Genomic DNA, 25,451 nt, shown 5'->3' with positions numbered 1-25,451 from the left:
GACATATGACCCAGGCCTGGACAGTTAGCATTCCCCACCTCCCTGGGCCCAGATACTTGCTCAGAGACTCACATGTGACCGACCTCCCTGGGCCTAGGCATCCAGTCTGAACCAGAGTCCTCCTCATGTTGCTTCTGCTGTATCTGTGGGCAGACACCTTTCTTTCCCTTTGAGGTCACTGGCAGACATCTTGCCAGCTATGAGGAATGATTCTGAGAGGAACAAAGCCTGACGGCATCACTTGATTCACTGGATGCAGCTGTGTCAGATGAGATCTACTCTTAAATTTCTTAGTTTGTGAACTAATCTTTGGCTGAAGCTATTTGGAATCACAACTTTCACTTGCATTCAAGAGAACAAAGCATAAGGAAATGATAGACACCATTAATGAATCTGATTTAGCTAATATTCAATGTTATGCTTATTATTTAAATGTGTATAGCAGTTCCAAGAGAGTGTTTTATCAATAAGGAAATTTGTCTAACTCACTGAGTCAATGAATATCCTCATGGAGATTCATGGAAAATAGATCATAATGCCATTGTCACCAAGTGGTTCTGGCACCTTCCCCCATGCCTTAAAACAAAAGTCACACGCACAAAATTGACAACATTATTTTACTGGAATTTAGCAGGGAGAAGATAATATCTTCAAGCTTTCACAAAGAAAATCTCCACATTGAACTCAAGCCAAATAAAGAAAATCCAAGTTCCTGTTTCAGTCTCAACTGGCCCGGGTACTAAAGCAATGCACTCCTCTCTTAGGAGGCATGTGTCAAGCTGTCAGTGATGTGGCCATCTTTTCATGACCCTTAACTCTCTGCATCATGTCTCAGCAATACCAGGCATGAATTCTGAAAAACTTCTTCCACTTATATGGTTTTCCTCATCCAGCTGAGAATGCTGCTGGTTACTGCAAAACTGTTCACCAACCATATGCTCTGGTCCATACAGCTTTCTTCTTAAACTCTGGGAGAACTCTCAAGGACAGCAGGGTGGCTAAGGGGACAAAATATAGGTATGGCTGCATTTGAAAAGGTCATTTTGATCAAAAAGGTGTCAGAACAGAATTTGTCTTTTTCTCACTTGGCTAATGTTCAAGACTAGGGAGTTCCATCGATATTTTGGCAGGATTTTAATGGCAGAAAACCATTTATAAATGTTGGGGGGAAAGTTGTTTTTTTTTTTTTTTTTAAGTTACCCTGCAATCAGTTAATGGGAAATTCTGCAGAATTAAAATGAAAGCTGACTTCTGGGATGCTGGTGATGTTTTTTTCCTTGATGAGGGTGCTGACTACATGGCTGTGTTCCCTTTGTAAAAATCTCCTCACAATTTGTGCTCTTTTCTACATGAATATGGTATTTCCATTAAACATTTACTTAATGATAAAAAACAACAATGAATAACCTGAACCTATAATAAAGTTAGGTTCATGTACTCAATGGAGCAAGTATGACCATACTAAAGTATATCTGAACATCTGTCCCCAAACTATTTCTGATCTGTCACAGGTCCCTCAGGGATCAATTTAAAATAGGAAGTTCTGTGTACTTCCTTTAAGTAATTTTTTATATCTTATTTTAGAATATTAATACAAATGTATTGATATTTTATTTGAAATATAATAATATGAAGGAATGTAGGTAAGCCAGAGTTACACAATTATTGTATGTGAATCTAATAAGCCTACTATATAATCAAGTGAATATGAGCTTCCTTGGCCCGAATGATTGCTTTCCTCATCCATATGCGTTGTTATCTTTGTAACCTAAGAGGGTATATCTTTGGAGCAACCAACGTTATTATGGCCATTAAAAATGAGCACAAACTCCATGGGTCAAACAGAGTAAGCCCTAGCAGCAAGTCTCTAGGGATGGATAATGTGAAAACATGTCAGACCACAGCCCTGATTTTCAGTGAAGTTCTGTGGTTTATCAGAGTTATGTGGGAGCACTGTTGCAGCACACACATGCCTCCCACCACTTTGAGGAGACAGATTACAACCAATGAATTCTTACTTGTTTGGCAACCAATAAACTGTACCATAGTAATAGGTAAAATATGGATCATACACTGACTCCAGGCTGACCAGATAAATTATCACAGAATAGGCCAACAGGCAACTTTCTGAAGGTGAAAGTTTCAGTGGCAGCTGCTGGCAGGCTCCAGACCCCCAGATCACCAGACATGAAGGACAAGAACAAGCTGTTGTAGTCCATACGGCCAATGCCCAAATGACTTCTCAGATCTGAGTAAAATAATCTACATAAGTTTTACGGAAAGATCTTCCATGTTTGTGGATCCTACAGTCATAGTTAACAAAGTCGGTAGAGAAGTACAAAAGACAGAAATCATTTAAATGCCTGAAAGTAGGAGAAGTGTCTAGTTCCCCTGGCAAGATACTATGAAGCTCATTAAAAACACTACTTATAAAGCCAGTGTAAGAACAGGTTTAGATGTTTGAAAAAGAATGTTAAAATTAAAAAGGCAGTATTTGAGCTATGTGTATTTTCAATTGTATATGATTATAAATATGTAAGACAACACACACAGAAGCAGGAAAAAACTTCTTATGGAAAATATAAAAATTGTCATTGGGCAATGGGACTCTGGATTTCTCTTTGCTGCTTTTTAGTTTTCTGAATTTTCTGAATTTTAATTAAAAGAATATTTTACTATTACCATAAAACATTTTAAAACCATTTAAATAAATGGTAAATTTAAAGGGACTGGCATTCTTTTTAAGTCTACTTTCTGGTTCAAAATGCCACACTAAACAGCTCCAGATTATCTCTTTCAGAAACCAATATAGGCTGAGCATCCCTAATCTAAAAATCCAAAATCCTCCAAAATCTGAAACTTTTTGAGCCTCAATATGACAACACAAGTAGAAAATTCCACACATAAGTACTTAACACCAAGTACCTTGATTCATGTACAAAATTACTAAAAATATTATATAAAATTACCTTCCGGCCATGTATGTAAGGTATGTATGAAACATAAATAAACTTTGTGTTTAGACTTGGGTTCCATCCCCAAAGCATCTCCTTATGTATGTTCAAATATACCCAAATCCAAAAACATCCAAAATCCAAAACACCTCTGGTCCCAAGCATTTCGGGTAAGAGATACTCAACCTGCAACCACTAGAATGCCATTCTGCTCCACAGACAACAATAATGGTTTTTCCCCTATGTTGAGCATAAAACATGGAAGTAATACCTTTCAAAAGATCCCTGGACTGTGCTGAGAGGGCTTCTTTAGGGCTTTCCATGATGCTGAATAGCCAGTCAATGAACTAGGGTAAAAATGAAAAATAGTGTCAAAGAAGAGAATCCTACCATCAGCAAAAGAACAGTTATTCCCTTGGACCTATATATATGAGGTGATTTTCCTGCCTCAGCCTCCCCAGTAGCTGGGATTACAGTTCTTAGGCAATACCTTCCCCAGGTGGAGGAGATGAGACAGGGACCAAGCATAAGATATGGTAAAGTTGGATACAGCTCCCATTTAGTTAAATGACCTGGCAAAGTCAAACCTACTTCCCTGCTGAATACCTTGAGAGCTGATACAGGAGTTTTTTTTTTTTTAGATGGAGTCTTGCTCTGTCACCAGGCTGGAGTGCAGTAGCGCAATCTCGGCTCACTGCAACCTCTGCCTCCTGGGTTCAAGTGATTCTCCTGCCTCAGCCTCCAGAGCAGCGGGGACTATAGGCGTACACCACCACACCCAGCTAATTTTTGTATTTTTTTCTTAGTAGAGACAGGGTTTTACCATGATGGCCAGGATGGTCTCGATCTCTTGACCTTGTGATTCAACTGCTTTGGCCTCCCAAAGTGTTGTGATTACAGGTGTGAGCCACCATGCCTGGCTGCTGATACAGGTTTTAAGAGGGAGGTAGACATGGGCCCAGAGGGCCTCCTGTGTGCCAGGAACATTATCTCTCATCACTCTGATGGGCCCAGAGAGATTAAAAACCTTGCCCAAGTCCACCCTCAATGTATAGCCGAGTTAAGATTTGAACCCAAGTACACTTGGCTTCAGAGCCCTATGCTCTTTCTTTGCATCATGCTGCCTCCCACCTGGTTCTGTGTGCAGCTTGGTCTAGGCTCCTAGGCTGGGCAGTAAATAGAAAACACATCAGATATAAGCCCCCATTTCTGAAATAAAATATGTTTCTGTAGATGAGAACAGTTGTGCCCAAATGGATATGAAACAGAAAATTGAAATGCAAGAGAAATGGCATAAAATAATTCACTAGGTAGAGCCAAGCATGTTAACCATGAATAAATCCTGCAAATGAGGTGGAAACTCATAGTATTTATGAGTTTGGCTGATCTCTCAGGATGCAGCCTGAATTGTTTTTGAATTAGATACAGGGTAATTTAATCAATGACTGAATGCTGCCAATCTTGGTTCACTAAAAACACATACATTGGTGATAGGTAATAGGCATTTTAGTTTCACATATAGAAGCTAGATTGAAGAAAGAGTAAAATAGGGAGAAAAAGAAAATATTCCTAATTCCCTGCTTTAATCAAAAATTTTTTTCTTTGTTGATTTTCCTTTTCTCAGTTTTGTGCTATAATATCCAACCGATAAGCAAAAAAGTCAAGCACTACAAATATATAATCAATGCAAGAGGTCTACATTGTAGTCCAAAGGGAACGTGGTATCCCAGTCCAGAAATAATATATGGGAAGACCACATTTAAATTTTTTTTTTTTTTTTTTTTTTTGAGACAGAGTCTCAATCTGTCAGCCAGGCTGCAGAGCAGCGGAGGGATTGCGACTCACTGCAACCTCCGCCTCCTGCGTTCAAGCGATTCTCCTGCCTCAGTCTCCTGAGTAGCTGGGATTATAGGCACACACCACCACACTCGTCTAATTCTTGCATTTTTAGTAGAGACAGGGTTTCATCATGTTGGCCAGGTTGGACTCGAACTCCTGACCTCACGTGATCTGCCTGCCTTGGCCTCCCAAAGTGCTGGGATTCTAGGTGTGAGCCACTGTGCCCAGCCAAAATTTGATTTTAAATGGGACACAAAGCACAAAATTTGGGGCAGCAATACTAATGCTTATCAGGTTTAAGAAAAATAAAAGGCATTTTAGTTGAGATACTTGGTGGAGTTGTGCATAGCTAAACTATGGGTCTACAGTTCAGAAATGTTTTTAAAGATTAATGTTCAGATTTCAAGAATAAGCAAAAAAAAGTTAGTTTGAAGCTTTCAACTTCATAAAAATCCAGTTTTGATTAAATGAGATTCAAAAAAGAATCTTTCAACCAACTGTATTAAGGACAGGTCAGAAACATATAATGAGAAGTACAGTAAGCACAGTTATGCTTTGCAGAACAGCTAGTAGCCTGGGGAACCTCAACATTAAAAACCAAAAAATGTTTCCTTTTGGGTCATATGTTTTAACAATTCAAAGTAACACATGTTCACATACAAAGCCCTCAACATGACGCAATGTCATCTTCCCCTTCACCCAACTCCTTCTCCCGCCCCACCCCTACTCCAGAAGAGGAACTAGACTGAACAGCAAACTAAACAATTTAGGTTTTCCTGAGGGCAAGGGTGATACTATCAGACCTTTACAAAGCTCTGTTTGGCATCTAGCACAGACCAGGGCACACTGGGTGCCTGGAGCATATCTGTGCAATGGAATAAGCTATGGGGAACCTTAAAGATGCTACAAGAAGATGGATGCTCCCGACCCACATTTCCTGGCAGAAAACTTCCTGACCCACCCAGGCATTGTTGATCAACTCCTTCCCTTGCTCATCACCACTGTATCTTACTTATCACACGATTTGCAATCCTGAATTTGCCTTCCCGTCGACCCTCACCTTGAGATTCTGAGCTCTGAGACATACTCACCCTTTCCTCCCCAGGATCAAGAAAACAAGTGCCTTCAATAAATGAAGTATGGACTTTTCCTCCACCTCACTCCCAGCTGTAAGCAAGCTGCCACCTTGTTGTTTAATCAGCAGTTGCCCCGAGCCTGGGCTAGCCTCAATCTCTGAGACTCTGCATCTGGCTGAGATATGGGGCTGGGTAGGAAAGTCTGTGGTGTGATTCAAGACGCACTTAACTCCCACCTCAATTCTACAGTAGAAACTGCTGAAGAGACAATGGCTGCCTGCCCTGCTAAGCAGGTGGCTGCCAGCCTCACCTTCTGGGTCTGTTCCTTCCATGGCTCTTTCTGCAGCAGCAGAGCCATGCTATTGGGAAGGAGAGTGAGAACCTCCTGCAGAGTGACCCTGTGCATTGGACTCCTGCCAAGGAAGCTTGGTACTGGCCCAGCCGGGCCATTCTCCTGATGCCATGGCAACCAACTGGCACTGAGGCCGAGGAGGAGAGGGGCAGTGTGGTCAGCCCATGCAACCACTGCGGTTGCAAATATCAGCAAGAAGAAGTCCAAAGCCTACGATGAAAATAGAAATGACGTTAGGTCATATTTTTTAACAATTCAAAGTAACACATGTTCACATACACAGCCCCTGTCGTGAGGCAATGTCATCTTCCCCTTCACCCAACCAGTCCCTCCTGCCCTACCCCCACCCAGAAGAGGAACTGAACTGAACAGTAAACTCAGTTTCCATGTTTAATGAAGATACATTTTGGGGCTTTAGAAGATTTTTGAAGTCCCTTTATGTGAAGGCAGAAGACCCAACAGTTTCATTATTATCGCTCTAACATTTCAGGAGAAACATCGTTTATTCAATTCCTAATCACATCAAGATCCAAACATTCCTCTGTTTTGATGTTTTCAAAGAGCTTACAAAATGAAGAAATATTTATGGTTATGTGGGCAAAACTAATTTTTAAAAATATGTATACTCTGATTCTACTTTTGAGCAAGTCTTTCTTCATTTTTTTTAAAAAATGTTTTAAGAAATGGGGTCTCACTATGTTGCCCAGAGTGATCTTGAACTCTTGAGCACAAGAAATCCTCCTGCTTCAGCCTCCCAAGTGGCTGGGACTATAGACATGTGCCATTGTGCCCAGCTTCTTCATGCATTTTAAACACCTGTCCAGGATCTATCCATTTAGATTTCAGACTAATCTAGACAATCATAGAAATGGTGATTATAGGAGCCACCTCTGAGTAGTTGGATTACTGTGATTTAAACTACACTTCTTTCTGCTTATCTGTATTTTCTCAGTGTTTTAAGGTTTTTGTAAGAAAACAGAGAAAGTTAATAAAAACTTAGGAAATCAGAAGAAAGAGGACAGATCACGCAAGTTCAAAAAAAGTTTAAAAAGTACTTCCTAATCTCTTAAAATTCCTAAACTCACAAATTAAAATTTCAAAAAGACATACAACTCTTCAGAAAAACTGGGCAGAACTTCAAAAAACATCCCAGGTTATGCAAATTTGACTCACACAGCAAACAGAATACTCATGAAGCATGCCTACAGAAAAAAAATTCTGCTATTACAAAATGCACAGCTGCCAGCTAAGTCAACACAATGAAGGAAAGCAGGAAAGAGCTGTCTTCGTCTTATTAATCTTTTATTTTTAAACTTACCCAAACCTAATACTAGCGGTTCTTACTTTTTTTGAGTCATAGGTAATTTTGCAGGTGTGATAAAAATTCCCCTCCATATATGCACACATGCACATAAGTATTGGCACACATAAGATTATCTGCATACACTCCAGGAACCTCTTCAAAGCAGGCATTTTTAGCCATATGCTGGCCAGTGTGGAGGCCAGAGCCCTATATTCCCACATCCTTTATGGGATCAATCCCAGCTACACAGGAGCTTGGGTTCTCTCTCTCCCAAGTGTCCTTTGTGTTCTGTCTGTCAAGAAACATATTTTGTTGAAAATATTTCTCAAAGGGCAGCCTTGGGTGTCTCCAAGAGCTTGGTAAGAATACCAGTTTTCTTGCGGCATCAGAGAATCATTAAGTGTGTCTAAAATAAAAGGAAAGAGGGAAAGAAAAGCTGCAAACAGCAACGTGCTCCTCTTTTGGGAGCATATATTTTAGGTTGGTGCAAAAGTAATTGCAGTTTTTGCCAATTAATGGCAAAACCGCAATTACTTTTGCACCAACCTAATATAAGTTCTGTATTTTAAGGAAGCTATAAACTACTCCTCTAGATTTTACCTTGTCAAGAGCCGTATTGTGAAAGGATGTTGACTGGTAAGCAACATTTCTAATATAACCCATCAGTTCCAAGAGCCACTCCATTCTCTTCAAAACGCCTGAAATGAAAAGGGTATTTTCTTACTAGACCATGGTTTTCCTTTGAAATGTAAAACAGATCAGTAACAACCATCATAACTAAAGCAGAACACCTGGTGAGGATTCCATTAACCAGTTTCATGTTCCCTTGCAATACCCGAGACTTGTGACTGCCTGTGAGAGAGTTCTTTGACATTATTCACATCAGATAACAGTATTTTGGTCTTTGATTTTCAAAAGCCAATTTATTCTTTAAATCTCCCTGACCACTAGTGATAAAATGCATTTGTTGGAGTTTCTCTCTCAAAATTAAACACACTAGGAGAAATCTGGCATGCCAACTAACTAGCAATGTTGAATTGTTGACAATTATTTGTTTTTATAGTTCTCCTTTGCTTCAGTGTTCCCAATTTATGCCAAATCACAGAGGAAACCTAACCCAAAGACATGTAAAGAAAAACAAAATACAGCCATTATATTTCCATTAGCAGCAATATTGACTTTTTTCCCTTTTAATTTTGTTTTTTAAAAAAGAGGATTCCCAGCACAGTAAAGACTACTAAGGACATGTTTCAAAAACGGGAACTGCATTTGAGAGCTGGCTGGTTCTGGTTGGAACCAAAGGCAACATCAAATTTATTTCAGTTTATTGCATGTAACTTCATGCTTCATTTGAAACACCTACTAGATTTCTTCCTGATACATACACTTTTGGCTTAGAGTTAAAAAGTCCAGTTTCTCATCATAGGTTCATTTTTCAGTGGAAAGGCACAAATGCAGATATAAAAACTGTTTCAGACTGCCACAGGGGATGATGAATCAAAATTTCTTTTTTTTTTTTTTCAAGATGCAGTCTCGCTCTGTCACCCAGGCTGGAGTGCAGTGGTGGGATCTTGGCTCACTGCAACCTTTGCCTCCTGGGTTCAAGCAATTCTCCTGCCTCAGCCTCCTGAGTAGCTGGGACTACATGCTTACGCCACCACAACCAGCTAATTTTTGTCGTTTTAGTAGAGACAGGGTTTCACCATGTGGGCCAGGCTGGTCTTAAACTCCTGACCTCAGGTGATCCACCTGCCTTGCCTCCTGAAGGGCTGGTATTAAGGCGATACAGTCTTGCAGAGTATTACAATCGTGTTTGTCAGTTTTTCCTAAAAATCATAACAATACAAGAGATGGATGGGGAAAACCAGGCACAGAAGCATAAGCAATTTGTCCAGAGTCGCACAAGCTTCCCAGCCACATCTACCCCTCAGGAGCCTGGTGCCATTCAGAACTTGAATGTAGTCTCCAGAAATTGTAAATATGACCAACAACCTGGATAGAGCAATGGGGGAGCGCTCTTATTCAGTAATTATTAAAGCATAACGTCTAAAACGGTCTAAAAATTGCATCATGTGATTCATTAGCAGAGCTTCAAGCTTGCTAATGCAGACAGGGTGGCAGGATTTGATTATTCTCATCCCAGAGAAGTTCTTCTGTAAAATAACTAGTTAATTTTTTTGTTTCTGTTTTCTCTTGTTTGTTAAATGACTACCCAAAAGCCATTTTCATGAAATCATCAGGCAGAATCAATTGATATCTTGTGTGTTTTGGGAAACTGAAGTTAAACAGGCAGAAGCAGCTAACTTGTTTGTAACTGTGAGGGTCTACAGAGCCAAATAGAAAACAAAACCCCTCGAAAGAATCCATCCTCATTTCCAAAAAGTGGATGTTGTGAGCTATAACTGTTAATTTCTATCCAAGTTACTCCTCATTTGGCACCAGAAGGCCTAACCTGTGTCAATAAGCACTAAACTAATTTTTAAGTTGAGAACTCAAGTGCAACTTAAAAGCAACAGCAGGCAGATCTATTCCTGTTTCTGATGTTCACCCCAGGGTGTCCTCACCCGTATTGGCATGGCTCACAATCCGTGCCTGGTATAAGCTGTGCAGAATCATCCAGGCCAACACCTCTTTCTCACGGTGCTGCACAGCAACGCTCAGCATATCGGTCAGGTTCACCAAGGGGAATCGTCCTTGAGAGACTAAGTACAGTTTGACAAAGGCAGCTTTTTCTATGTTGCTCTGCAAAAAAAAAAAAAAAAATTGTTTAGTTACTATTAAATTAACTGAAGTAGCTACAGAATTTCAGGGCAAGGGCAAAACAAAAAAGATGAGTTGGATGTTACTATTCTGTTCATTTCCTGCAGCACATGACCCATCTGCCTGTGTGCTAAATTAACATGAGCATACAATAGAGGGTTGTAATGCCATCTCCTGCTCCTTCATTAAAACCATAAATTTGTTCAGGAGTTAGTCAGTGATGATATATAGTAAATATACACAAACAATAATAATAAAATGATGACTAACAAATACAGTACTTACTGTGTGCCAGGCATCACTCCAAGCACTTAACATGTGTTAATTCAGTGGTTTTCAAAGTATGGTACACAGAACTTCTGTGGAACCCCAAGATACATAAGAGGTTCTGTGAGGTCAAAACTATTTTTATGTTAGCACCAAAGTGTACTAGTATTCATTGTATATTGTACTGACGTTTATTTTTTTTTCACAAGCCAATTTCACTTAAAATATCCTTGTAAACAATAAAAATTATTAGTTCCATTAAACATTGGCCCTTGAGTAAATATTTTTAAAAATATTCTGTGCGACAAACTGAGAAATACTCATATGGGAACTGTGCTGCATACCCAGGTATGATGGTGGTCTCAAGCCAAGGAAGAACACGTGTAAGATTAGGCTGTGAAATAGCCACTCTTTTCACAGAACACTATTTACTTGAAAGAATAATTGATGGAAAAACTATGGTTATTCAACCTGGGTATTTGACAGATTATTTTCTTGAAACTGAAGGAAATGAACCTGTCACTTCAAGAAAAATACCTGGTAGTATTTGCTCCCAAATGATAAAATTTGAGCTTTCAAGAGAAAATTAGATTTTTGGAAAATTTGTTTCTGCTTCTATGAGCCTGGCAGCTTCCCAATATGTAAAAAGCTTTTCTGATGAGATTGGTAGTGCTATTAACAATACGATTATTTTATATTGTCAACATTTGGAAGATCTTCAAAACTCAGTGATTCAATATTTTCCAAATGACCAATGTATGATATTACAAAACCATGCATGGGTAAAAGACCCAAAGTGTAAAACAGACCTGTGGAATTTAATGTAACAAAGTATATGAGTTTCACTAATATGGTTTCAGATTCTACAGTGCAACTAACCTTTAAGGAACTACAAGTTGCTGGCCGGGCATGGTGGCTCAGGCCTGTAATCACAGCGCTTTGGGAGGCCAAGGCAGGAGGATCACCTTGAGGCCAGGAGGTCAAAACCAGCCTGGCCAACATGGTAAAACCCTGTCTCTACTAAAAATATAAAAATTAGCCAGGCATGATGGTGGATGCCTGTAATCCCAGCTACTCTGGAGGCTGAGGCAGGCGAATCACTTGAACCCTGAAGACGGAGGTTGCAGTGAGTTGAGATCATGCCACTGCATTCCAGGCTGGGAGACAAAGTGAGACTCAGTCTAAAAAATATTTTTTTTAAAAAAGGAACTACAAGTTGTTGAGTTTTTTGGTGAAATGTAAAAGAAGGATGTCCGTAATTATGTGAAAAGACTATTAGCACACGTTTCCCTTTTCCTCCTGCATATCTGTATGAGGCTGGAATTTCTTCACATACTTCACCAAAACAACCTCACAACAGATGGAATGAAGAAGCTGCCATGAGAATCCAGCTGTCTTCTATTAAGCCAGACATTAAGGAGATTTACAAAAATGTAAAACAATGCCACTTTTCTCACTAAATTTTTATGCTTTAAATTTTTTTATTAATCATGTTCATATATAATGGGTTTCTTATTATTGCTTTTAAGTAAATATTTAAAAGTTTTCCTAGTCTTTAAATTTCTAATAAGGAAAATGTCAACAGATATGACCCTTATAATTAAAAGCTCTTTGGCATCCTCAACAATTTTTAAGAAGCTAAAGTGTTCCTGAGACTAAAACATTTGAGAACTGCTGTATTTACTCATTCTCACACCAATTCTCTGCAGTAGATCACTATTAAAGTCCCACCTTTACAGATGGGGAAACTGAAGCACAGTGGTTAAGCAACTTGCTTAAATTAAGGTCACATAGCTACAGGTGGCAGAGTAAGAAACAGAACTGAGGGAGTCTGTGTTCTCTACCACTATCTTATTCTTACCTCTACCTCTATTCTTTTCAGAAACAAATAGAAAACTCTGACCTTGCTGAAGCAGACTAACTCTTTTGGGGACATCAGAACACTACTTAGTATGTTCCAGTGACAATGTTCTGAATGGTATTTTAGGTAGAAACTCAAGCGAGTAACAGCAACCTTCAGCTCTAGGTACTAAGAAGTAAATGACATACTTTATTTCCAATTACATGAATGTAATAATAGGATATAATTCATTACACATATGTAATAATTATGATAATAAATACTGAGTCCTTATCTTGACCCAGGCAGTATTCCAAATACTCAACATGGACTAACTCACTGAACTCTCAAAAGAGCTCTAAGTCATAGGTGTTATTATCTCTCCTTTACAGATAAGGGAACTGAGGCAGAGAGCTTATGAAGCTTAACCAAGATCGCATTGCTAGCAAATTGCAGAGCTGGATTTCAAACTGAAGCAGTGAGGCTCCAGAGTCCATCCTCTTAACTATTTTCTTATGTTGCTTCTCCTTGCTTAAAACAACCTAACTTCCAAAATGTTGATATTCCATATATTCTTTTTTTTTTTTTTTTTGAGACAGAGTCTCGTTCTGTCACCAGGCTGGAGTACAGTGGTGGGATCTCGGCTCACTGCAACCTCCACCTCCCGGGTTCAAGCGATTCTCCTGCCTCAGCCTCCCGAGTAGCTGGGACTACAGGTGTGTGCCACTACGCCCAGCTAATTTTTGTACCTTTAGTAGAGACGGGGTTTCACCATGTTGGCCAGAATAGTCTCGATCTCTTGACCACATGATCCACCCGCCTCGGCCTCCCAAAGTGCTGGGATTACAGGCGTGAGCCACCGCACCTGGCCCCAAATATTCTTTAACAGTGGTTTTCAAACCTTAGGATACACCAGAATCACCTGGAGAGACAATTAAAACATAGACTCCTGGGCTCCGTCTGCAGAGTTTCTGATTCAGTAGGCCTAGATGGGGGCTCAAGAACTCACATTTCTAATCATTTCCAAGGCGATGCTGATGCTACTTATGCAAAGACCACATTCTGAGAACCACTGCCATATGATGCAGAAATTCAAGGATCTGATTGAATAGGCAAACCTGCCATAAAGTAAAATAAATGACACGAAGTCCACCAGCTATAAGGGAGCTCACAGTTCTCTAGACCATTGGTATTAGTTGGTATGCAAAACTGCCATTCAAATACAAGTGTGTCATTTGGCATGTACTTGTACTAAGAAATGATTCATTATTGATCTGCAACTCAAATTTAACAAAATATCTTGCATTTTGTTTGCTAAATCTGGCAACTTTACTGATATGCTACTTTTTGCTCATTCATCGTTTGACTTGGGCATGGGTGTGGGAAATAAATTATCCTGTGTCAGGGCTAATAGTGCTTGCTTTTCAATCAACCACCTTCTTCATTCCTAAGGATAGGATCAGGTGAAGGACAAAGTGGGAGAAATCGGGTTAAAAAGTTATTCATCCATCTATCCATCCATACAACATTTGTTAAGCACCAACCACATTAGTAGGCTGAACAAGAGGCTCAACAATGTAAATGAAATATAGTTTCCTGAAATTAACCAATAACAAAAATGAAGCAAAACTTGCTTCAGCCAAACACTGAAATCAATTATTCAATCGTAATTTCTGGCTCAATAATGAAAAAAGGTATAGAAAGATATGTTATTACCTTAGTAACCTGGGCGATCCGATTGGCATCATCATCTGTCATTTCTAAGAGGCATTTTGCTATGCTGATATACAGCTCTAGATCCTTTCTCTGATAAAGAAAAATCCCAAACATGTCAACAAACAGTGTAAAATAACAGGTCAAAATGTTCTGACAAATTATTAGATTTTCTTATCCCCATGAACAGCAGCTGATGAGATTTTAATTTTAACCAAACCAAAACATTTGGCCAATTTTTATCATTTTGAAGACATCTTTCCTGTTACTTTGTGTTTTTTTGTTTTGTTTTGTTTTGGCTATACATTTTTCTCCTTATCAAAATTCCTTCATCCCAAATAAATTTCTAACCTCTTTGTAAAATTACAATTCAGAGGTCTTTTGGGGGAGGGAAGGGCGATGCTAAATTGTTTTATATAAACAGTATATGGGAACTCATGCCCACGGATTCTCCAGGTGTAAAGCGTAAGGACTTCTGAGCCTTCTCGTCTTCTACAAGAGGCATTTGGTAAAAACGCCTAATAGCAAATTTCCTGGTGCAGCACTGGTTAAACTGCTTCTAAGCTTGCTCAAAACTTTGGTTCTAAATATTCAACCTCAATTTAGATCTTGGAAACAAATACACTCCTAGTAAAGAATGTGGTTATTTCTTGCTAGCCTTCCCACCCACATTCTTAAAACATACACCTCCCCACTTTGCCAAGAAGCCTTTAAAATATCCCAAACATAAATTGTCAGGAATGTAAATATTTTTGTTCCTCACCCGAATCTTATTTGGCAGGAGGTCAAAAATTTTCCCAGTAGCTTCAGAGAGCAGACTCCAGAGGTGGTGGGCAGGGCTGGGCAGTTTCATGGCCTGGCTCAGACCGTGTAAAGCACTTGGGCATAGCTCAGGACTTCCAAGTGGGGAAGCTGCTTTAAAAACTGCCACCATTAAATTTTCAACAAAACCCAGGATCTGTTCATCAGAGATGTGTTTTATCCACAGAGGTGCAGATATCAGGAGATATCTCTTGGTATTCAGCTGGAAGTAAAACAGAAGGGGTTGAATGTAAATAGGCAAGTCTGGGTTTGCAATGTTCAAAACCTGTACATCATCACTGTGTTTGAGGGTAGACTGAGAGATAAAAGGTTCAGGTTACTTCCTTCCCCCTTCATTTTCCCACAGCTTCACGGTCCAATGGGCCACCAATGCATGTAATTTTGGCTTCTGCAGTTACTTCTGATCCAGGGTGAATCATGTGTTTATATGGGATCTGCCAACCCATCTGTGAACTACTCAGCTTAAACCTTGGATGTTTTCAAGGTTTCAGTGACGGGAATAAAATGCTACTTCTGAAAGTACATGACAGTTACTTTTCAGTTTTAAAAGGTCACATTCTCTGGCAAGAAAAGCTCTGGAAGATGAAAGGCTCAACTGCTGAAAATCAACTAAACAGAGCATCTGATACTATTAATTTCTTCTTCTGAGAAAAAATAAGGAAGTAATAAGGAGAAGTGACATGCTGGGACCATTTATGACCAAAGTAAAACCACCAGCTGAGCACGTAGAACTGACCAGGCACCTTAGAGTTCATGAGAGCCAAGAAAGGGCATGTTAGTAACAGCTCTGTTATATGACAGACTTCAACCAAGTGGGCTTCAAAAATTCTTAGGAACATAAACATGCTACTAAAGGGGCAGCAAGTCTAAAATAAGTGATCTAAAAATAAAATCTGGCAAAATAAGTGATCTAAAAAGTAAAATCTGGCAAAAACTTTTTTGTGTGCTATTTTTGTTTTTTCAAGATAGCACACAAAAATAGGGGAGGGACAGAGGAACAATGTTTTCTGCAAATTTCTAAAAAGATCAGTGTAGTTGCATGAGTTTTCTCAAGACCTCATTTTAAAGAATATGCCATCTCAGATCATTCTATATTTAAGAAAATGAACTCACAAACTTAATTTATTAACCAAGATAACAATAAAGATAAATAATCAAAGACAAATGCACAGAGTAGCACAGATCTAAAAGATAAATGAAAGGATAAGTAAAATTTAGGAAAATTTCGAAGGCCAACCCAACAGGCTGGAAATAGGTCTGATTCAAAAGTAAGAAGGAGTGAATAGAACAGGGCTTTGAACTCAGATAGATAGAGCTCTCTCTTTTATTAGCTAGGCAAACTTTGCTTGACCTCCATTTGCCTCAGTTTATAATTCTGTTAAAATGGAAATAATAAAATGTATCTCTCAGACATGAAACAAGACAGACATAAAAAAATTCATATTGTATAATTCCATTCTAAAGAATTTCAAAAATTTATATGAAATTTATATATAATTTATATAAAATTATATAAATAAAGGTTATTTTAGAAAGGCAATACTACAAATAGAAAGCAGATTGGTGGTGGCTTGGGTCTGAAGCTGGGAGTGGGGAATGACTACAAGCAAGCACAATGGAACTTGTCAGGTGATGGAAATATTCTTGGTGATGATTGAAAAACCTGTAAAGGTACTCAAATTCATCACATTTTACACTTTAAAACAGCCATATTTTAGGCTATATAGATTATAACTCAACAAAGCTACTTTTAAAACTGTCCCGTCAGGCTGTAGAGAAATTAAGTCTGATTTCTGTAAGTACTCACTGAGTGCTTGCAGGTACCAGGTGCACAGCAAGGGCTCAGTAAGTGGCAGGCAGCTGGGAGCCACTTGGAGCAGACAGGTGGAATGAAGTTAATACCTGACAGAAAGATGCAGACCTTGATAACATCCACTTTCAATTAAAGACAGTGAGGAGGAGTAGGAAAGGTTTAAAAAAACAAAAACAGGCCCAGCGTGGTGGCTCACACCTGTAATCCCAGCACTTTGGGAGACTGAGGTGGGCAGATCACTTGAGGTCAGGAGTTCGAAACCAGCCTTGCCAACTTGGTGAAACCCCATCTCTACTAAAAATACAAAAATTAGATGGGCACGGTGGTGCACACCTATAGTCCCAGCTACTTGAGAGGCTGAGGCATGAAAATCACTTGAACCCAGGAGGCGGAGGTTGCAGTGAGTCGAGATTCTGCCACTGCACTCCAGCCTGGGCTATGGAGCGAGAAACTGTCTCAAAAACAACAACAAAAAAACAGAAACAAGGCTGAATAGGGACAAAGGCCAAGAGACTGAGGAAATGATAAGAGGGCTTTGCACTATTCTCAAACAATTAAAGCCTCCTAGGACAGAAGAATAGTCCAGATTATGGAGACAATTAAAAGATGACAGCATTTAACTTACATCAACTGGTAAACCTCTAAAGAATCATGGAATATGTTTTTCTGTTCTAGTTTGAAACCTAATCAAAATTATACATCTTTACTAACTTTACATCTTTAAACTCTCTTGCCCTATTCTTCCTATCTGCCCTTGGCCTATACGTGAAAGGTGCTAGCCCCCTCTATCAAAAACACCAGACTCGGTCATTGCTTTCTCAACGCTTTGCTCAAGCTAAACAGCCTAGTAGAGATCTTTCATGCTCTCCACTTACACTCTCCCACCTACATCCCCTGGTCCCCTTGATGTGATACCTAACCAAATCATGGCCCACCTTAATTGCTGCCTCCTCTGGGAAAGGGGAAGGATAATACATGGATAAGTCCGGTACATATGGATTTCCTTTCTCTTAATATGTACTGAAATAATTACATATACTATATAATCAAATAAACATAAGTTCAAATAATTCCACCACTTTCTAGCTATATGATCTTGAGAAAGGAACTTTAATATCTCTGATCATCATTTTCCACTTTTGGTAATAAATGGTAGCTAAAGCATGAACGGTAATGGCTATGGCAGGGTTCTGAACTATATAATTTTCCAATATGCAGGCCAGCTACTATCAAACCCTCGATTTTTGTGAAGATCTCATCTGTCTCCTCTTGACTTTGAGAACACACACCCAAATGAATGTTAATATCCTCCTAAAGAACAATATCCTCCTGTTGGCCAACACCCTTAGTTACTACATACACTCAGACTGTGGATCAGTGGTGGTGTCACCCACAAGCCCAATAGTGCAGCTGCATTCTGGGATGACTGTGCCTGGGTCACCATAATTTCAAGGCACAGTTGCTGGATCTCTTCACCTGAAAGTCAAGAAAGGAAAAGAATTGAATATATAGTTACTTTCCTGACTCATTTTCAGGCTTTAATATCTCAAATCAAAGCATCTGCTTATGTGACTTTTGCAGGTAACAGAACTTCAGTAAACCAGAAGAGATATTTCAAGAGACTTGTTAGTTATGAGGCAAAATAACATGTCCAATGGCATCACAGTCCCACCTTGGAACTAGCAATGGGCTTGAACTAGATATGGGAATTTCTCTTATGATATCCAGAGGAAACTACACACTCAAACACTATCTAAAATATGAGAAAATTCTAGCTAGTAATCTCTGGATCTCTGTTTTTCCCTTCTCTCCATCTCATATGCAGACCATGAAGAAATATATCAAGGTGTGGAATGGCTTAAAGATAGAGCCACATTCTCTAGTCATCAAGCCTTTCTAGTAATAAGATTCCAATCAGCACCTTATTTTCCTTCCTTTCTCTAAGGACTTAAATGAAACACAAACATTTCAATATAGCACACCAAACAAGGAGAGGGATAGCGGAACACATTTTTCAAATGAAATCTCTGGAAACCCAGTATGGTGACATTATATCTTATATAGAGATTAGGTTTATATGAAAGCACTTAAGTGAAAAATTGTATGTAGTCAAAATTATCTTTATCTCTGAAACCACACATAAATTACAGTATAGAAGTTGTTTTATATATCATATGTAAGTATGCACTCTACTATAAATGATAGAGCACTCACAGCAGGCACAGACACAAACACACACAATTTTACAACACTGTTTAAATTGCTCTTCATCTCCCCTTCTTACTTTATTTTTGGAGTTAGGGTGGGGAACAAGTACATTAAATTATATTTGCATGTGTAACTCTATTCTGTATAAAATAGGTTGCTGTGGATGAACTGGAGGTGTTGAGGTGTGTATTCTGTTTGCCTCTCACCACAAAATAACTGTGGTAGGCAGAATAATGGTCCCCAATAATGTTCACATCCTGATCCCTGCAACCTGTGAATACACTACCTTATATGACAAAGAAGCTTTGCAGATGTGATTAAGGTTAAGGATTTTGAGATGGAGAGATTATCCTGGATTATGTAAGTGAGCCTATTAATTACATGAGTCCTTAAAGTTGGAAAACCTTTCCTGGCTACAGAGAACCAGAAAGATGATGGTGTGAGAAGATCTTAGCCCTCTATTGCTTGCCTTGAAGATGCAGAAAGGGGGCCACAAGTCAAAGAATGTGGGCAGCTTCTAGAGGCTAGAAAAGAAAAGGAAATGAATTCCTCCCTAGAACCTCTAGAAAGAAATTCTAATTTGCTGATACCTTGATCTTAGGCTGGTGAGAAACATGTTGGACTTCTGGCCTATGGACATGTAAAGATAATAAATTTGTGTTGTTTCAAGCCACTGTGGTAATTTGTTACAGCAGCAATAGAAAATTAATACAGCATCCCACATGGTACTTCTCGAAACCTATGGCTCTGGAAATGTAGTTTGATAACCACAAAGGCAAGCTTAATGGAACCTGTACCACATTCCCAGCAGTGCGCAAACCTCAGTCAAGCATTGTTTTTGGCAGGTGTATCTGGCCTGTGTCTTTAGACCTCTTCTTCCTCACCCTCAGGGGCTCAATGACTGAGTGAAAGTAACCCAGCCATTCCATCCAACATGACAAACCTCAAGATCTGAAAAGTCTATCCAGTCACTACACATTGTGACACAGAATCTGTTTTTCCATTCAGGTCAAATACTAAAATCAAAGTCTGAAGACTTAAAAACACATGATATTTACCAAAATTTAGCCTCATAAGTGGAGAGAGAAGTGCAGCCCAGTTCACAGGAGGATATTGGTAGCTTTCTCCAACAGTTGCTATGGGTTTCATCACTACTTTAAGAAGGGAAGGAGGCACAGATTCAGGACCTATAACAGACAGTGAAAAATAATAGTAAAACACCTGCATACTATCATGGAAGTGGAAAATGCCAACAATTCCTTCTTTCCTTCTAGCATCAAAGGATCTGATATCACATATTCAATTGCGATCAACGCTTCAATTCTGTGCTCTTAATTTCAACTCCATTTGCCAGAAAAGCTTGCTCCCTCTGTTCTTCTCTTTTTAAAAAATTTTTATAAATTTTTCAATAATATATAATAACTGTATATATTTATGGGGTATAGAGTGATATTTCCATACATATGTGCAATGAACACATCAGGATAAATAACATATCCATCATCTCCAATATTTATCATTTCTTTATGCTGAAACATTCAAAATCTTTTTATCTAGCTATTTGGAAATAACAATTACTGTTAACTATAGTCACTACCCTACAGTGCTTTAGAACACCAGAACTTATTCCCCGTATTTGAACTTATTCCTCATTTTGTTTCCTTTAACCAATCCCTCATTATTGCCCCATCCTCCTTCTCTTCCTAACCTCTAGTAACCACTATTCTATACTCTCTACCTCTATATAAGATCAACTTTCTTTGGCATTGCATATGAGATCAACTTTTTTAGCTTCCACATATGTGATATTTATCTTTTTGTGGCTGGTTTGTTTCACTTAACATGAGTTCTCCAGGTGGCCATAAATGACATGATTTCATTCTTTCACTTGCCTACAGTCTTTCCTTTCTGACTGGATAAAAATTTTCCACGTTGCTACTTAGCTGTCCTCTGCACACTCTTGTCTTTTTATCTAGTTTTCCAAATTAAGTAACTTCTTTTACATTAGTACCTCATTGCTCACTTACACCTCAATCTACTTCCAGCAGAGAGAATAAGGACTGCTCACTCAGGTACACTCCATTCTATGGACTATGTATTGCCTAGTCTCTGTAGTCCTAGACTGCATTCTGTACCTTGGGAGTCTCTAGTTTTTCTGCTTCCCAGCCTGTGCCATGGTGACCGTTCTAGAAGTGAGCATCTAAGGGCTGTGTAACAGCTAGTCCATCAGTTAACCAGCTGCCTATGACATAGTACCATTACTTTAATATTATATTCCTATTTAAAGGAAGTGTGTATAGGGTAATTAGAAATTGAAAAACAGATAGTAGAGCATTTGTGAGTGCAAACATATGGTGCAACCAGGAATAGAATAGCCATTAAGGGCCATGTAAACGTGAAACTACGAGGAGGCCAGAAATAGTATAACACATTAAAATGTAGAAGACCAAGGAGAAGCAAAAGGAGCAGGATCAACATCGGCAGTAGAAAGGAAATTAGCATCAGCAGAAAGAGAAGCAGAATCAACAAAAGGAAAAGTAGAGGTAGGAAAAGGAAAAGCAGAGGCAGGATCAGCAAAAAAGCACCTGAATCAGAAGATGCTGAAAAAGGGGGAATCAGCGTGGAAGTAGAGTCAGCAAAAGGAAAAACAGCTTCAGAAAGGAGAAGCATAGGAAGAAGGAGAAGCAGAGGCAAAATCATCAGAAAAAGTAGCAGAATCAGTAGATGCTGAAAGATGGGAGAAGCAGATGTGGAGCCAGAGTCAGCAAACGTGAAAACAGCAGCAGAAATGAGAAGCACAGGAAAAAGGAGAAGCAGAGGCCAAATTAGCAGATGCTAAAATGGGGAAGCAAGAGTCAGCAGGAAAAAAACAGCTACAGAAAGGAGAAACATAGGAAAAAGGAGAAGCAGAGGCCATGAACAGATGCTGAAAGAAGGGGGAAGTAGGGTAGAGTCAGCAAACGTGAAAACAGCAGCAGAAATGAGAAGCATAGGAAAAAGGAGAAGCAGAGGCCAAATTAGCAGATGCTAAAATGGGGAAGCAAGAGTCAGCAGGAAAAAAACAGCTACAGAAAGGACAAACATAGGAAAAAGGAGAAGCAGAGGCCATGAACAGATGCTGAAAGAAGGGGGAAGTAGGGCAGAGACAGCAAAAGTGAAAACAGCAGCAGAAAAGAGAAGCACAGGGAAAAGGAGAAGCAGAGGCCAAATTAGCAGATGCTAAAATGGGGAAGCAAGAGTCAGCAGGAAAAAAACAGCTACAGAAAGGACAAACATAGGACAAAGGAGAAGCAGAGGCCATGAACAGATGCTGAAAGAAGGGGGAAGTAGGGCAGAGACAGCAAAAGTGAAAACAGCAGCAGAAAAGAGAAGCACAGGAAAAAGGAGAAGCAGAGACCAAATTAGCAGATGCTAAAATGGGGAAGCAAGAGTCAGCAGGAAAAAAACAGCTACAGAAAGGAGAAACATAGGAAAAAGGAGAAGCAGAGGCCATGAACAGATGCTGAAAGAAGGGGGAAGTAGGGCAGAGACAGCAAAAGTGAAAACAGCAGCAGAAAAGAGAAGCACAGGAAAAAGGAGAAGCAGAGGCCAAATTAGCAGATGCTAAAATGGGGAAGCAAGAGTCAGCAGGAAAAAAACAGCTACAGAAAGGAGAAACATAGGAAAAAGGAGAAGCAGAGGCCATGAACAGATGCTGAAAGTAGGGGGAAGTAGGGCAGAGTCAGCAAACATGAAAACAGCAGCAGAAATGAGAAGCATAGGAAAAAGGAGAAGCAGAGGCCAAATTAGCAGATGCTAAAATGGGGAAGCAAGAGTCAGCAGGAAAAAATCAGCTGCAGAAAGGAGAAACATAGGAAAAAGGAGAAGCAGAGGCCATGAACAGATGCTGAAAGAAGAGGGAAGTAGGGCAGAGTCAGCAAACGTGAAAACAGCAGCAGAAATGAGAAGCATAGGAAAAAGGAGAAGCAGAGGCCAAATTAGCAGATGCTAAAATGGGGAAGCAAGAGTCAGCAGGAAAAAAACAGCTGCAGAAAGGAGAAACATAGGAAAAAGGAGAAGCAGAGGCCATGAACAGATGCTAAAAGAAGGGGGAAGTAGGGCAGAGTCAGCAAAAGTGAAAACAGCAGCAGGAATGAGAAGCATAGGAAAAAGGAGAAGCAGAGACCAAATTAGCAGATGCTAAAAGTGGGGAAGCAAGAGTCAGCAGAAAAAAAAAAAAAAGCTGCAGAAAGGAGAAACATGGGAAAAAGGAGAAGCAGAGCCCACATCAGCAGATGCTGAAAGAAGACGGAAGCAGAACAGGGCAAAGTCAGCAGAAGTAAATCAGCTGCAGAAAGGAGAAGCACAGGAACAAAGAGAAGCAGAGGCCACATCAGCAGATGCTGAAAGAAGAGGGAACCAGAATAAGGCAAAGTCAGCAGAAGGTTAAATAGCTGCAGAAAGGAGAAGCACAGGAACAAGGAGAAGCAGAGGCCACATCAGATGATACTGAAAGAGGGAATCAGAACAAGGCAAAGTCAGCAGAAGGTAAAATAGCTGCAGAAAGAAGAAGCACAGGAACAAGGAGAAGCAGAGGCCACATCAGCAGATGCTGAAAGAAGAGGGAACCAGAACAGGGCAAAGTCAGCAGAAGTAAATCAGCTGCAGAAAGCAGAAGCACAGGAACAAGGAGCAGTGGCCACATCAGCAGATGCTGAAAGAAGAGGGAACCAGAATAAAGGAAAGTCAGCATAAGGTAAAATAGCTGCAGAAAGGAGAAGCATGGGAACAAGGAGAAGCGGAGGTAAAATCAGCACACTGAAAAGGTGGAAGAAGAAATAGGGCAGAGTCAACAGAAGGAAAATAGCTGCAAAAAGGAGAAGCTATGTGGAATCAGCAGAAAAAGAAACAGAATTAACAGAAGTTGAAAAAGAGAAACAGAAGCAAAATGAATAGATACTGAAAAAGCAGGCAGAGAAAGAAAAATGAAAAACAGCAGAAAGAAGCATAGGAGAAAAGAGAAGCACATGCAGAATTAGCAGGAAAAGCAGAACAACTAGAAACTGAAAAAGAGAGGGCAGAGGGAGAATCAACAAAAGGAAAAAAGAGCAGCTAAAAAAGGAGTAACATAGAAAAAAAGAGAGCATATAAAAATGGGCAAAGAACTTAGACATTTTCCCAAAGATGATATACAAATGTCCAACAAGCATATGAAGATGACCAATATCACTAATCAGAAGGAAAAAAACCAAACCAAATCAAAACCACAATGAGATATCAGCCTATACCTATTAGAACCTATTTGTTGCTATAAAAACAATAGCAACAAAAACACCAGAAAAAGTGTTGCCCAGGATATGCAAATAATGGAACCCTAATGTACACTTGGTAGGATTATAAAATGATGTGACCACTATATAAAACAGTATGGCAGTTCCTTAAAAATTTACACATTATTTTATATAAATAGAAAATTATAACTAGAACTACCATATAATCCAGCAACCTCACTTTTAGGTGTATATCCCAAAGAAATTGAAAGCAAGATCATGAAGAGATCTTGCAAACCCATGTTCATAGCAGCATTATTCACAACAGCCAATTGGTAAAAGCAACCCAAATGTCCACTGATGAAAGAATGAATAAACAAAATGCAGTATATACATAACATGGAACATTATTCAGTCTTATAAAAAAAGAAAATCATGCTAGATGCTATAGCATGGATGAAACTTAAGGCCATTACATTAAATTAGCCATTCACACACACAAAAATGTATGATTCCATTTATGTGAAGTATCTAAAGTAGTCAAATTCATAGAAAAAGAAAATGGAATGGTGGTTACCAGGGGATAGGGAGAGGGGTGGGGGAAAGGGAGTTATTGTTTAATGGCTAGAGTTTCAGTTTTCTAAGTTCTGAAAAGTTCTGGAGAACTGTTTCATAACAATATGAATATACATTCACATTAACACTATTGAATGGAGAAATTCCATCTCATCTCTACTAAAAATACAAAAAATTAGCTGGGCATGGTGGTGCATGCCTGTAATCTCCGTTACTCAGGAGGCTGGGGCAGGAGAATTGCTTGAACCCGGGAGGTGAAGGTTATGGTGAGCCAAGATTGCACCATTGTACTCCAGCCTAAGCAACAGGAGCAAAACTCTGTCCTCCCCCACCAAAAAAAATAAAAAAAAATGGTTATGAGGGTAAATTTTACATTGTGTACTTATCACTACAATGTTTTAAAAAAGAAGATGCATATTCAGAAATAGCAGCATAATTGGTAGAGATAAAGAAAAAGTAGAAGTGGAAGTGGCAGCAGAGTTATTTTAATTTTTGATTTTGTGGTTACAGAGTAGGTGTGTATATTTATGGGGCATGGGGCACATGAGATATTTTGATATAGGCATGCAATGTGTAATAATCACATTATGGAGAAAAGGCAGAGTCCTTTTTGTTTTCCTTTTTTTGACTTCTGGTGTTCAAGGAAATCTCTGTCAGCACTAGCTAATCACTGGCTAAA

General features: G+C 39.3%; 1 protein-coding gene across 19 annotated transcripts in view; it reads right to left on the bottom strand.

Annotated features, from left to right (window-relative positions):
* Nucleotides 1-603: 603 nt before the first annotated feature.
* The window catches only part of FOCAD (focadhesin), a 340,326-nt gene continuing 315,478 nt past the window's right edge, over nt 604-25,451 (bottom strand). For all 19 annotated transcript variants that reach the window (XM_047423537.1, XM_047423539.1, NM_017794.5 and 16 more), the window contains 9 exons: nt 20,006-20,134; nt 18,100-18,215; nt 14,868-15,128; nt 14,108-14,197; nt 10,089-10,266; nt 8,125-8,222; nt 6,180-6,431; nt 3,226-3,301; nt 604-998 (listed from right to left, as the gene is read on the bottom strand). In XM_047423537.1, coding sequence (XP_047279493.1) covers nt 925-998; nt 3,226-3,301; nt 6,180-6,431; nt 8,125-8,222; nt 10,089-10,266; nt 14,108-14,197; nt 14,868-15,128; nt 18,100-18,215; nt 20,006-20,134 — 1,274 coding nt within the window. In that variant the 3' untranslated portion in view covers nt 604-924. The remainder of the gene's footprint in view (nt 999-3,225; nt 3,302-6,179; nt 6,432-8,124; nt 8,223-10,088; nt 10,267-14,107; nt 14,198-14,867; nt 15,129-18,099; nt 18,216-20,005; nt 20,135-25,451) is intronic.

Source organism: Homo sapiens, chromosome 9, assembly GCF_000001405.40.
Source record: "Homo sapiens chromosome 9, GRCh38.p14 Primary Assembly".
Taxonomy (NCBI): domain Eukaryota; kingdom Metazoa; phylum Chordata; class Mammalia; order Primates; family Hominidae; genus Homo; species Homo sapiens.
Note: the sequence above shows the minus strand (reverse complement) of the source record. Positions and strands in the feature narration are given on the sequence as shown.